This window comes from Homo sapiens, chromosome 12, assembly GCF_000001405.40.
Source record: "Homo sapiens chromosome 12, GRCh38.p14 Primary Assembly".
In the NCBI taxonomy this organism is placed as follows: Eukaryota; Metazoa; Chordata; class Mammalia; order Primates; family Hominidae; genus Homo; species Homo sapiens.
Genome location: NC_000012.12, coordinates 14,544,389 through 14,558,050, shown reverse-complemented (window position 1 = coordinate 14,558,050; position 13,662 = coordinate 14,544,389). Strand labels below are relative to the sequence as shown.

At 42.8% G+C, this 13,662-nt stretch overlaps 1 protein-coding gene and 1 pseudogene across 1 annotated transcript in view; both read left to right on the top strand.

The window, feature by feature from the left end:
* The window catches only part of PLBD1 (phospholipase B domain containing 1), a 64,223-nt gene that overhangs the window by 9,833 nt on the left and 40,728 nt on the right, over positions 1 to 13,662 (top strand). Inside the window, exon 2 of the mRNA NM_024829.6 lies at positions 4,639 to 4,858. Within this exon, the coding sequence (NP_079105.4) occupies positions 4,639 to 4,858 (220 nt within the window). The remainder of the gene's footprint in view (positions 1 to 4,638; positions 4,859 to 13,662) is intronic.
* On the top strand, positions 4,081 to 4,360 carry RN7SKP134 (RN7SK pseudogene 134; annotated as a pseudogene).

The window sequence follows — 13,662 nt, the reverse complement described above, 5'->3', positions numbered from 1 at the left end:
TGGCTACGTAGTATTTCATTGTGTATATGTACCACAATTTCTTTATCCAGTTTACCACTGATGGGCATTTAGGTTGATTCTGTGTCTTTGCTATTGTGAATAATGCTGCAATGAACATACGTATGCAAGTGTCTTTATGATAGAACAATTTATATTCCTTTGGGTATATGCCCAGTAATGGGATTACTGGGTTGAATGGTATTTCTGTTTTTAACTTTTATTTTAAGTTCAGGGATACATGTGCGGGTTTACTGTATAGGTAAATGTGTGTCACAGGAGTCATTGTATGAATTATTTCATCACCCAGGTATTAAGCTTAGTACCCATTAGTTATTTTTCCTGATTCTCTCCTTCTTCCCTCCACCCTGAAGTAGGTCCCAGTGTCTGTTGTTCCCTTCTATGTGTCCATTAGAAACATAATGGACTAAAGGATGTGTCTCATCGTTTAGCTCCTACTTATAAGTGAGAGCATGCAGTATTTGGTTTTCTGTTCCTACGTTAGTTTGCTCAGGATAATGGCCTCCAGCTCCATCCATGTTCCTGCAAAGCACATTATTTTATCCTTTTTTATGGCTGCATAGTATTTCATGCTGTATATGTACCACAATTTCTTTATCCAGTCTACCACTGATGGGCCTTTAGGTTAATTCCATGTCTTTGCTATTGTGAGTAGTGCTGCAATGAACATATGTGTGCATGTGTCTTTATGACAGAACAATTTATATTCCTTTGAGTATATGCCCAGTAATGGGATTACTGGGTTGAATGGTATTTCTGTTTTTAGGTCTTTGAGGAATCACCACAATGGTTGAACTGATTTACACTGTCACCGACAGTGTATAAGCATTCCTTTTTCTCTGAAACTTCACCAGCACCTGTTATTTTTTTGACATTTTAAATAATAGCCATTTTGACTCATGTGGAGTGGTATTTCATTGTGGTTTTGATTTGCATTTTGCTAATTATCAGTGATGTTGAGCTTTTTTTCACATGCTTGTTGGCCACATGTATGTATTATTTTGAAAAGCGTGACAGACAGTCTTTTTTTTTTTTTTTTTTTTGAGAGGGAATTCCGCTCTTGTTTGTTGCCCAGGCTGAAGTGCAAATAGCACGATCTCGGCTCACTGCAACCTCCGCCTCCCAGGTTCAAGCGATTCTCCTGCCCTAGCCTCCCAAGTAGTTGGAATTACAGGCTTACGTCACCATGCCCAGCTAATTTTGTATTTTTAGTAGAGACGGAGTTGCTCCATGTTGGTCAGCCTGGTCTCAAACTCCTGACCTCAGGTGATCCTCCTGCCTCGGCCTCCCAAAATGCTGGAATTACAGCGGTGAACCACTGCACCTGGCTGATAGACAATCTTAACATCAAAAAGTAAAATGTTGGCCAGGCACGGTGGCTCATGCCTGTAATCCAAGCACTTTGGGAGGCCGAGGCAGGCGGATCACCTGAGGTTGGGAGTTCGAGACCAGCCTGACCAACCTGGAGAAACAATGTCTCTACTAAAAATACAAAATTAGCCGGATGTGATGGTGCATGCCTGTAGTCTCAGCTACTCGGGAGGCTGAGGCAGGAGAATCGTTTGAAACTGGGAGGTGGAGTTTGCGGTGAGCTGAGATCTTGCCATTGCACTCCACCCTGGATGACAGAGGGAAACTCCATCTCAAAAAAAAAAGGTAAAATGTTGGTCCAGTTTGGAACGTTTGCCAACAAATAACCCTGTGTAAATATTTAATCTGAAAACTTTCTAGCCTCTTAATCACTAAAAACTCAATATGTCTAAAACTAAACTCCTGATCCCTCCCAGACATATTGTCCATGTGCTTCCTTTCTTGGTAAATGATACAACATCCATCCACTGAGTCTCAGCCTAAAACCTGATAGTCATTCTGGCGTCCTCCCACCTCTCTGATGACTGACCTGAATGTATAGATTCTTCAACCAGAGCACATGTGTAATGGCTTCTCAGACAGAGAAAAGAACACGTCATATTTTACCATTTCCTTTCTCCATGTCTTATTTCCTTGTTTCTTTCTCTTTCTTCCTAAGTCTTCCTTCCTTTCACAAATATTTATTGAGTACCCATTATGGGCCAGGCACTGCAAGTGCTGAGGACACAGTCTCTGGCCTCAGGGAGCTTCTAGTCTAGGAGCAGGGGCAAGCATGTAAGTTACAGTACAGTGTGACAAGGCATAAAGATGGTGTGCTTACAAGCATTGAGTTTGTAGAGGAAGTCATTCCCTGCAACAGAGGTGCTGCTTCCTGGGTCCTAAATAGCAATTTTGAGATTGCTAGGTGGCTAACCAGAGGGAAAACATCAGGCAGAAAAAATAGCATCTGCAAAGTCAAAGGTGTTGACCTAGTTACTGGCAGGTTGGAGAGCTGTATGTGATGGTCTCTGGATCATCGAATGTGCGTGTGGGTGATGAGGAAGCTGGATAGGTAGATGGAAACCAGGTCACGAAGGCCAAGTGGGAAGCAAAACTTTTTGTTTTGTTTTGTTTTTTTGTTTTTGAGACAGAGTTTCGCACTTTTTTGCCCAGGCTGGAGTGCAATGGCACAATCTAGGTTCACAGCAACCTCTGCCTCCCGGGTTCAAGCAATTCTCCTGCCTCAGCCTCCCGTGTAGCTGGGATTACAGGCGCACACCACCATGCCTGGCTCATTTTGTACTTTTAGTAGAGACGAGGTTTCTCCATGTTGGCCAGGCTGGTCGCGAACCCCTGACCTCAGGTGATCCGTCCTCCTTGGTCTCCCAAAGTGCTGGGATTACAGGTGTGAGCCACTGCTCCCAGCAGCAGAACTTTTAAGAAATAGAAACTATTGAACATTCTTAGCCGGCAAGCTAACAAAATCAGTTCACATTTTAGAAGTGCTACTCTGGTAGAGAACGAAGAATGGATTAAAGGTCAGAGAAACCTTGAAAAAGTCCTCTTCTATACTTAAACGGCTAGTTGTGTTACCTAAAGTAGCATAAAAATATAGGGATAAAGAGGTAGAGATTGGTGGGAGAGATATTTAGAAGGCTTTGATTAAACATAAGTTATGAGACAGAGAAAGGAAGCCAGGATGGATTCAAATTTCAGGCTGGGAGATCACTGAGAGAGAAAACACCACGATGGAGGATATTTCGAATCTCTAGTGCGATGGAATCATCCAGATTGTGTTATTAAGTGTGCTGTGGGGTATTGAAGATAAAGAGGAACCTGTGGGGAGAATGAGGAAAAAGGCAGGCACAGGAGGAGACTGGGGAGGGTGTAGTGTCCCAAAGGCCGTGGAAGGAAAAAGTTTTAAGAGTAAGTGGTCATGAGTCCAATGCATTCAGAAGTTCATATGACATTAGGACTCAAGGATTTTGTTAGTGACCCAGGCAGAAGACGCATTGGTATCCTGGAGGTGGAGAGCAGACTGCAGCCGGCTGGAGCAAGGGACAGGAGGAGGAAGTGCAGGGTGTGAGTGCATTCCTCTTTCCAGAAGGCGAGGCCTGGAACTGTGCCAGTCATGTTCACAGCTCTGTCACCAGCACTCAAAACAGTCCCTGATTCAGTGTGGACACTTTAAACTTTGTAATGATTTCATGAAGGGAGTGAGAGATTCTAGCAATAGCTCTGTTGGGTCACAGGATCCAGATGGCTTCTGTAGTTGGTTTATTTTTAGCTATGAGACAATGGAGCATGTTAACTATGCCAAAGGGGGAGAAGCTACTGCCGAGAGAGGGAGCTTTAGGGCACAGAAGCGAGAGGATACAAGATAGAACAGAGTTCCTAAAGGTGGTAGAGTGAGATCCAGAGCATGGGTCAAAGAATGGAGGTGAACCAGAATGGAGAGATGGGCGTGATGAGTGCAGGGATTGTGTAGGGACGGACCCACAAAATTATCAACACCATACGGAGTCACAGGTGATAGCTTCTAGTTTTTCTGCAAAGAATCTAATGTCATATGACATTAGATGAATTAAGCAGGAGACAAGGGATAAGGAGCCTGAGAAAGGTGATGTTTTGTTCCACCTGTTAAGGGGAATGGAAGAAGTTGCTGACTAGGGACAAGAGCCCTATTCTTGTCTGAATTAAGAAGTAGGCGTTGGAAGTGAGGGCAATCTGGCTGCGACATCTGTCACCCCATTGACCACCAGGGTTGATTTGGCTGATCTGGCTGGCTAGGCGGGTGTCCCCTTCCTCCCTCACTGCTCCATGTGCGTCCCTCCTGAAGCTGAGCGCTCAGTCAAAGAGGACGATCATCCCTGATAGAGGAGGATCGGTCTTCAGTCAAGGGTATACAACTAGCTGAGCCATCCTGCGAGAACCTCCAAACAAGCTCTCAATAAGTAGGCGTAAGGTCCAGCTCCAGCCCTGCCCAGATTCCCACCCTCTAAGGATGAAACACTCAGGCTCACCTCTATGATGCTGTAGCTACACCCCCACCTTTGACCTTGCTCTTTGTGTTTTGGGCTTATCCCCCTTGATTGGGATTCCAGTTTTTCCCCACTTGGAATTAAGGGCAAACTGTAACGGCAGATTTCCCAATTCTAATAGAATGGAAATCTTTAAAAGCAAACGTCTTGAAATTGTTGGATACATAGGAAAAAAATGCATCACAACTCATTTGAATGGCGTTTTTGTCATTATTCCCTTTTCTTCTAGGAGTCTACTATGCAACTGCATACTGGATGCCTGCTGAAAAGACAGTACAAGTCAAAAATGTAATGGACAAGAATGGGGACGCCTATGGCTTTTACAATAACTCTGTGAAAACCACAGGCTGGGGCATCCTGGAGATCAGAGCTGGCTATGGCTCTCAAACCCTGAGCAATGAGATCATCATGTTTGTGGCTGGCTTTTTGGAGGGTTACCTCACTGCCCCGTAAGTATCCCAGTCATGGTAGAGCCACTGCCAGGCAACCCCTGTCCTTCCCATGTTCCACAGTGACTCTCATCTTCCTGGCATTGCACATTAGAACTGAAGAGTAGCTGGAGTTCACATGTGTGATAGAGACATTATCAGAATTGCATTTTTGCGGGGGTGAGGCATGGGACACAGTCTCGCTTTGTTGCCAGGCTGGAGTGCAGTGGCGATCATAGCTCACCACAGCCTTGATCTCCTGGGCTCAAGCAATCCTTCCACCTCAGCCTCCTGAGTAGTTGGGACCACAAGCATGAGCCACTGTGCCCAGCTCAGAATTGCATTTGCTCCCATAATCAGTACCTGCCTAAAAGGAACAAAACCTCCAAGTGTGGCACTCTTTAATTCTCATGGCACTTACTTCTTAAAAATCTTCCCATCCCATGAAACCATTTTGTTTTATTTTATATATTTTTGCAAAGACAGGGTCTCCCCATGTTGCCCAGGCTGGTCCTAAACTCCTGACCTCAAGCCATCCTCCCATCTTTGCCTCCCAACGTGTTGGAATTACAGGTGTGAGCCACCATACCCAGCCATGAAATGATTTTAAAGACAGCAAAGTCATTTCATCCTACTAGTCACTTGTTGTCTGGTAGAAAGCAAATGAGAGGTGGGGTCACTCCTTGAGAACAACAGAGCAGGGAAGAGTAATTAAAAATAAACGGTTGGTGCATTTATTTCCAGCCATCTTGAAACAATAGCTCCATGTGGGCAGAGATTTTTAAATTGAAAGTATAATGAGTCTAAAATAAATGTTTCTTCTAGTTCTACCATTACTTGATTCTAGTGTCCTTGCCTTGCCTTATAAAAGTAACAAGGACGTAATTAATAATAATGCAATCAGGATACATGCCTTTTAGAGAAGAGGTCTTTAAGGAAAATAAAGTTGCAATTTATTTAATCGACTCTCATCCCTCCTTTGATATAAAAAGTATCTTGATGACTTTGCTTGCCTCTTTTATTCTCTGTGACCTAGATTGTTGAGTGCAGTTTAACCAAACTTTACTTGGGCTGTTACTGCCTTAGTCATAGTAAGTGAAATGTCAGTCTTAATCTATTTTGAGTACTGGAGATTGTATCAGATGTTGAATGACTAGTTATTGAGCTCTGATTGCTCTTTTTTAATACAAACTACAAATTTTTGTTTTTATTTTTATACCCAATTTTTTTACCCTACCATACAAATCTCCTTAACGGTGTACTATTCATAGATTTATAAAACTTCATAAACTGAATTAGATTTTTTAAACATGTTTAAAACCATATTATACAGGTAAAAATCTGAACTTCTCCAAATCTTTATCCACTTCTGTTCGCACTGAATTCTGATTGTGTTATTTAAATTGAGTCGTGAGTTTGAAGAAACAATTTGAACCAAAGTTGTGTGAATATAAATAGGTTAGATTAACTCATGAGTGACATATACAGTGGGTTATTAATGGAAACTGTGATTTGCAGAAAGCAGCTCTAATCTCTGAGAATGTTCTAAGAATGCACGTTTCCCTTGGATATTTCTGTTGGTGTTATTGTTAGAGCTCACAGAGATTTAGTGGGCTTTGACAAAGGTGGCACCTCTGATATTCTTATGTCTCAGAAAAAAATAAGCTTTAACATCTCATAGCAGCCACTTTTGAAGGTGGCTTTATCATTTTGCCTTCATTTTTTAGATAAAGCATTGACCTATTCTTGAGTAACTTTATCCACTAGCCAAAAAAAATCTATAGAAAAAGCCATTCTAATAATAACTTTTTAAAAATACTTCTGTATTAGAGTAAAAATTGTTTGTTTGTTTTGAGTTAGAGTCTCTCTGTTGCCCAGGCTGGAGTGCAGTGGCGCAATCTCGGCTCACTGCAACCTCTGCCTCTCGGATTCAAGCAATTCTTGAGCTTCAGCCTCCCTAGTAGCTGGGACTACAGGTACGCGCCACCATACCCAGCTAATTTTTGTATTTTTAGTAGGGATGGGGTTTCACCACATTGGCCAGGCTGGTCTCGAACTCCTGACCTCGTGATCCTCCCACCTTGTCCTCCCAAAGTGCTGGGATTACAGGCATGAACCACCACGCCAGGCCTGTATTAAAGCAGAAATTTTATTTATTTATTTATTTATTTTAAGACAGGGTCTTGCTCTGTTACCAGGCTGGAGTGCAGTGGCACAATCATGGCTCACTGCAGCCTTGACCTCCTGAGCTCAAGAGATCTTCCCACCTTAGCCTCCACAGTAGTTGAGCCTACAGGTGTGAGCCACCACATTCAAATAATTTTTTTTTTTTTTTGAGACGGAGTTTCACTCTTGCTGCCCAGGCTAGAGTGCGATGGCGTGATCTCGGTTCACTGCAACCTCCGCCTCCCGGGTTCAGGAGATTTTTCTGCCTCAGCCTCCCAAGTAGATGGGATTACAGGCATGAGCCACCACGCCTGGCTAATTTTGTATTTTTAGTAGAGACGGGGTTTCCCCATGTTGGTCAGGCTGGTCTCGAACTCCTGACCTCAGATGATCCACCTGCCTTGGCCTCCCAAGTGCTGGGGTTACAGGCGTGAGCCACCGCACCCAGCCTAATTTTTTATTTTTAGTAGAGATGAGGTCTCACTATGTTTCCCAGGCTGGTAATTTTGTTTCTTAAAAAAAGACACTCGCTATACTATTCAGGAACTGTTTTCTTGTTTAATTTGCCTTTTTGCCATGTCCTTTCAAAAAAAAGTTGACACGTATAAGTCAGCCTTTGAAAATTTTAAAAACAAACAAACAAACAAACAAAAAGACTTCTTGCAAATTGTGATGCAGGCTTTGAGCATCTGAGTCTGCCTTCCCTTCAGACCAGTAGCAGCAGCCCAAGGGCAAATGATCAGGAGTGGGGCAGAGATAGCTCTAGAATCTCTAAAACTATGTCCTTAAGGAAAAGCTGGTTCACTCTTGCTAGCAACTCTACTGCGGAGAACAACCTCAAAAGAGCTTGTTAGCCATAAGTACAGAGTACAAGAGAGAAAAGCACTCCAGTGGCCAGAATAGTCAAAGAAGGCTTTGTGGAAGAAGTGAGTTGTAGGCTTGGTGCTTGATAGAAGAGAACTACTGCGTTTGGCTGGGAAGAGGGATAAAGTCATTCTGAGCAGAATGTAATGGAACAGAGTACTGAAAAAAGGCACTGAGTCTGAAATGAGTAAGTTGCATTTACAAGGAGTGAGGAGTGGCTGGGCACGGTGTCTCACGCCTGTAAACCCAACACTTTGGGAGGCCGAGGTGGGAGGATCACCTGAGGTCGGGAGTTCGAGAACAGCCTGGCCAACATGGCGAAAACCCGTCTCTACTAAAAATACAAAAATTAGACTGGCATGGTGGTATGCATCTGTAATCCCAGCTACTTGGGAGGCTGAGGAAGGAGAATCACTCCAACCAGGAGGCGGAGGTTGCAGTGAATTGAGATTGCGCCATTGCACTCCAGCCTGGGCAACAAGAGTGAAACTCCATCTCAAAAAAAAACCAAAAACAAGGACCGAGGAGTGGAAGCTCCAGTTGAACAATCGAAGGACGGTGGGTTTCAAAAGGCAAATGGGGGCCATGTGTGGAAGGCCTTGGATGGAAGTGCTCCCAACAGTCCTTCTCTACTTGGAGCACAGAGTGCCCGAGGTTTCTTAAATATAAAAGATGACCTCTCTGTCATCTCTGTCTAGTGTGTGACTGTGGTCATTTTCCCACCTTCTCAAAGAGGGGCTTCCCATATATGTGGTACCAAGAGCCTGAGAGGACCTCTGCTTTGCAGTCTTTGATGCAGCTCAAAGGCCATCTCAAATGCTGTCTTCTTGATGAACCTTTTTAAGATTTCATTCCCACTGGATTAGAGCTCCATCTCTCTCCTCTACCACCTGTTAGTGCCTTGACGGCCACCGTATTTTGTTAATTTTTATAGACCCCAGATGTCTGGCATAGTGCTTTGCTCCCAGCCGTTACTTAATTACATGCTAATCAGGTTTAATGGAATTCTATTGTTCCAGTTCTATTAGAAACAAATTCTAAGTATGAGGTATATTTCCATGTAATGGAGTGTGATGGTAGCAGCCTTGACCAAACTGAAGATTCTTCCTCTGATTTTTCACTCTATAGGACAGTTCCCTAAGAGTTACAGATTCAGCCTTTGATGTCTCATGAATGATATAAAGACTGTTAAATAATCATGGATCGATTTTTAATAAAATGAGACATGAAACCTATCTGGAAAGCATGGTGATAAGGGTATGGGGACCTGGTCTGCTCTAGTTTTTAATAAAGCAGCTGATCTCTTATGTTGTTCACGCGGCTGCTGAAACTCCCTCCTCTGGTATTACACAGTTTGAATGAGTCAACTCAGCACAACAAACACTTGTTTTGCTACTTTGTGCGTGGCACTGAGGATAGGAAGAAACGTAGGGAGTTGGTTCCTGACTACATTCTTCAAAGGCAACTCCTTTTACTTACATTAATATGTTGAGACAACATTGCTAAAACAGTGATGAAAAGAGGTTCTACTAAGGTCACGGCACAATTAGAGAAAGTAGTCAGTGGTGGGACCTCCTTTGTGCTTGGTGTTACCTCTTTTGCTCCATTTGGTGTTAGAAACTGAATATGCTTCTAGGTCCAGACTGTGGGCAAAGCAAACTCAGACACAGCCTCACCCTCAAAAATTTCTTCTTCTTCTTCTTTTTTTTTTTTTTTTTTTTTTTTTGGAGATGGAGTCTCCCTGTGTTACCCAGGCTGGAATGCAGTGGCACAATCTCGGCTTACTGCAACCTCTGCCTCCCAGGTTCAAGCGATTCTCTAGGCTCAGCCTCCTGAGTAGCTGGGATTACAGGCATGCACCACCACTCCCAGCTAATTTTTGTATTTTTAGTAGAGACAGGGTTTCACCATGCTGGCCAGGCTGGTCTCGAACTCCTGACCTCAGGCGATCCGTCTGCCTCAGCCTCCCAAAATGCTGGGATTACAGGCGTGAGCCACCGTGCCTGGCCCACCCTCAAAAATTTCTAATGATGTATCAAATTGTAATTATTTGTAACTTAAAATTGACCATAAAATACCAATGACGATGATAATCATCACTTATATACCATTTACAATGTGTCAGACTGTTCAAAGCATTTGACATATGTTGAGTTATTTAATCCACAGTACCATGAGGTATGTATCATTATAATCTTCATATTATTTATATGAAAACTTGGGAAGTTAGGTAACTAGCTGAAAGTCACGACGCTTGTGAGTAGGAGCCAGGATTGGAAAGGAGGCTATCTAGCCCCAGAGTTTGCATGCACATGCCCCGCTACCACAGACAAATGGATTCATCACTGTGGGAAATACTAAAGGAGCCCAATATGGTCTCTGACTCAGGGAATCCAAACAGGAGAGCGTAGGAGGTAGTACATGACAGGTGCTAAATGATGTGTTATTGCCATCATGCAAAAAGATTCTGGGAAAGATGGGTGTGCACATGTCTTTTTGATTCTCAACATGTAGAAGAGGTGTTGAAGAGGTAAATGTGAGCAAAATCTCAGCCAAATTAGCAGGAAACTTACTGACTTTACACACTGCAGGAGCTGAAACAAAACCTAACTCATCCATGAGGTTGACGCTAGTGTTGCCTCTGATGAGAATTCAGAAGCATGGAAAAGTTGGGAATCCTGCTTTTAGTAAGATATAGCTTAGAAGTAGTGGAGTCAAGCTTTAAACTCAGAGCTCAAAGCCTGGATTCTTTAATGTTACACTACATTGCTCTGCCACACAGAAGTGTAGGGTCCCAGGACGAGGGATGAGGGAAGGGCCTCAACCTGAAGAAACTGCAAGAAGATTGTATTCCTTGGAGCCCCTGTGTGTGGCAGGACTGGCTGAGGCCCCCACTTCTCATCTCAAGGTGGAGGTTTCTCTCCCCTTGTACTGAATGTCAGAATCAAAAAAGCTAGTCTACACACACACACACACACACACACACACACACACACACACACAAAGCCAGGTGCAGTGGCTCACACCTGTAATCCCAGCACTTTGGGAGGCCAAGGCAGGCGGATCACCTGAGGTCGGGAGTTCAAAACCAGCCTGACCAACATGGTGAAACCCTATGTCTACTAAAAATACAAAATTAGCCAGGTGTGGTGGCACACGCCTGTAATCCTAGCTACTTGGGAGGCTAAGGCGGTAGAATTGCTTGAACCTCGGTGGCAAAAGTTGCAGTGAGCTGAGATCACACCACTGCACTCCAGCCTGGGTGACAGAGCTAGACTCCATCTGAAAAAAAAGAAAAAAGAAAAAAAAGAAACCAGAAGAAAAATTTTAATAATTCTGGCCCAGTTACCTTCCTGTATTTCTATCTGTCTTGTATATGGTTATATAGTAGACATCCTCAGCAATGACACTCAAGTCAGGATTAATGTTCCTCTGTTTAAGGATTTTCCCATCTAGGCAATATTGACATTTTGGGTTGGATTGTTCTTTGCTGTGGTAAGCTGTTCTGTACCTTGTGGGATCTTTAGCAGCATCTGTGGCCTCTACCCACTAGCTAGCAGTTGCACCTTCTCCCTCACTCAGTGTGACAACCAAAAATGTCTCTAGAAATGCTCCTTACAGGGAGAAATCATGCCAGTTGAGAACTACTGCCTTATCTTGAAATAGACTGAAAAATGTGGGGGATCTGGAACTCTGGGTGGAGCTAGGCAGGGTGCAGTGATGGAAGACTTTGGATAAAAAGTATGAATTTTTTGTTTCTTTACCTGAGTGAGCATTGTAAGTGAAGAGCCCACAAGTTATTGGTTTCCAATAAATAAAACTATTTTCATATAACTGTTTTTTGTTTTTCATTTTTTTTTTTTTTTGAGACAGAATCTTGCTCTGTTGCTCAGGCTGGAGTGCGGTGTCATGATCTCTGCTCACTACAACCTCAGCCTCCTGGGTTCAAGCAATTCTTGTGCCTCAACCACCCAAGTGCTGGGGTTACAGGCATGTGCCACCATGCCTGGCTTTTTGTATTTTTAGTAGAGACAGGGTTTTGCCATGTTGCCAAGGCTGGTCTTGAACTCCTGATCTCAAGCAATCCACCAACCTCGGCTTCCCAAACTGCTGGAATTACGGGTGTGAGCCACCGTGCTGGCCTTCATGTAACTCATTTTAAGAGCATGAGGCCAGGACAGAGGATCCCTTTCTTGTCACCCACACACTTGTCTAGCTTTATTGCTGTTCTTGCTCTTGTATTAAGAGGTGGTAGAAAGTAACCGAATGGATCAAAGCAGAGGTATGTGACAGCATAAACTATATGTAAATAATAGTTAAATGTGATGATTCAATTTAATATATATACACAGGTAATTTGAAAAAAAAATCTCATGAGGTAAAGTTTATTAAATTCCAGGACCATAAAATAAAAAATTTCAAAGGATCATAATGTCGTGTACTTCACCAGCAATAAAACTATTCTCAGTTTATTAGTTTCAGTTCTGGAAACAACTAGATAAAGAATATCTGAAGTTTCAAAGTGTAGGAGCCAAATTCCCATTCTTGGAATCCAGAATGGCCTCCAATTCTGAACTCCCTACATCAGTGAAAAGCATCAGATAAAAACCAGAACGAGGACTGTAGGTAAATATTCAGTCCAGAGGGTGCAGGGACTTCCTCTTTGCTCTAAACTTAGAGCAAATTATAGGGAAAATATGTAGAAAGAAAACCTCATAGTAACACACCTGGGCTCCAGAACAAGATTAAATGTCTCTTCTACCAGAAATTGAACAGAAAACAAAGTGATAAAATATGGATCTGCTGGCCCTTGGCCTGAAGCCAGCAGAGGCAGCCACCTGCTGATGGGTGAGGGCCTCAAGGCTCTGAGTGAGCTGAGTCAAGGCTGGGAGCCAGATGCTTTTAACTGCTTGTAGAAAGGAGGCCACAAAATAGTGTTGGTGATGTAAGTCCTAGCCTACAGATTTATAAGAAACGGTAAGCTTGGGGGTGTGGGGTGGGGAGGCAGTGGCAACCAAAAGCCAAAGCATTCACAGCTGGTTTAGTTATTTACAAATATCACTGCAATATTCCATAGGATGGAAGTCCCAAAAAGGCACTGTAAGACCTGGTTCCTAGGACTCAGATGGAGGCATTTGGACAGAGAAAGAGGGAGGGAGAGAGGGAGAGAGACAGAGAGGGGGGAAAGAAAAATGCCTACACACCAAAGTTCCAAAATCCACAAAGAAATTGAAAGACAGTCAACAAAATCAACAATATGAATATACTCCAGATTAATTTTTAGAATGGTTTAACAAAGACTTTAAATTTGCATAGGGTGCTTTAAGTTATAAATGAAAGAAAACTTGGAGAATTTATTAAACAAGGAATAAGAAGTAAGAAGATGATTTTTTAAAGAACTTGTTAAAATATAAAAGAAAATTATAGAAGTTAATTTTTAAAAATCTCAATACATAGACAAACCCTAGACTAGATACAATCAGAGAAAAAATTCTGAATCAGATATTAGTATTGAGGGATTTATACCATAAACAGCCCAAAGAGATAAAGGGGTAAAAATTATGAAAAAACTGTTATTAGACATAGCAATTAGATTGAGAAACTCTGATATAGACCTATTAGGAGTTTCAGAAAAAGAGACTAGAGGCAACTGCAGATAAGCAATAATTGACAAGGTAATTGCTGAGAATTTATCAAAATGGAAAAAACGGGCCCAGTGCAGTGGCTCACTCCTATAATCCCAGTACTTTGGGAGGCTGAGGTGGGTGGATCACCTGAGGTCAGGAGTTCAAGAT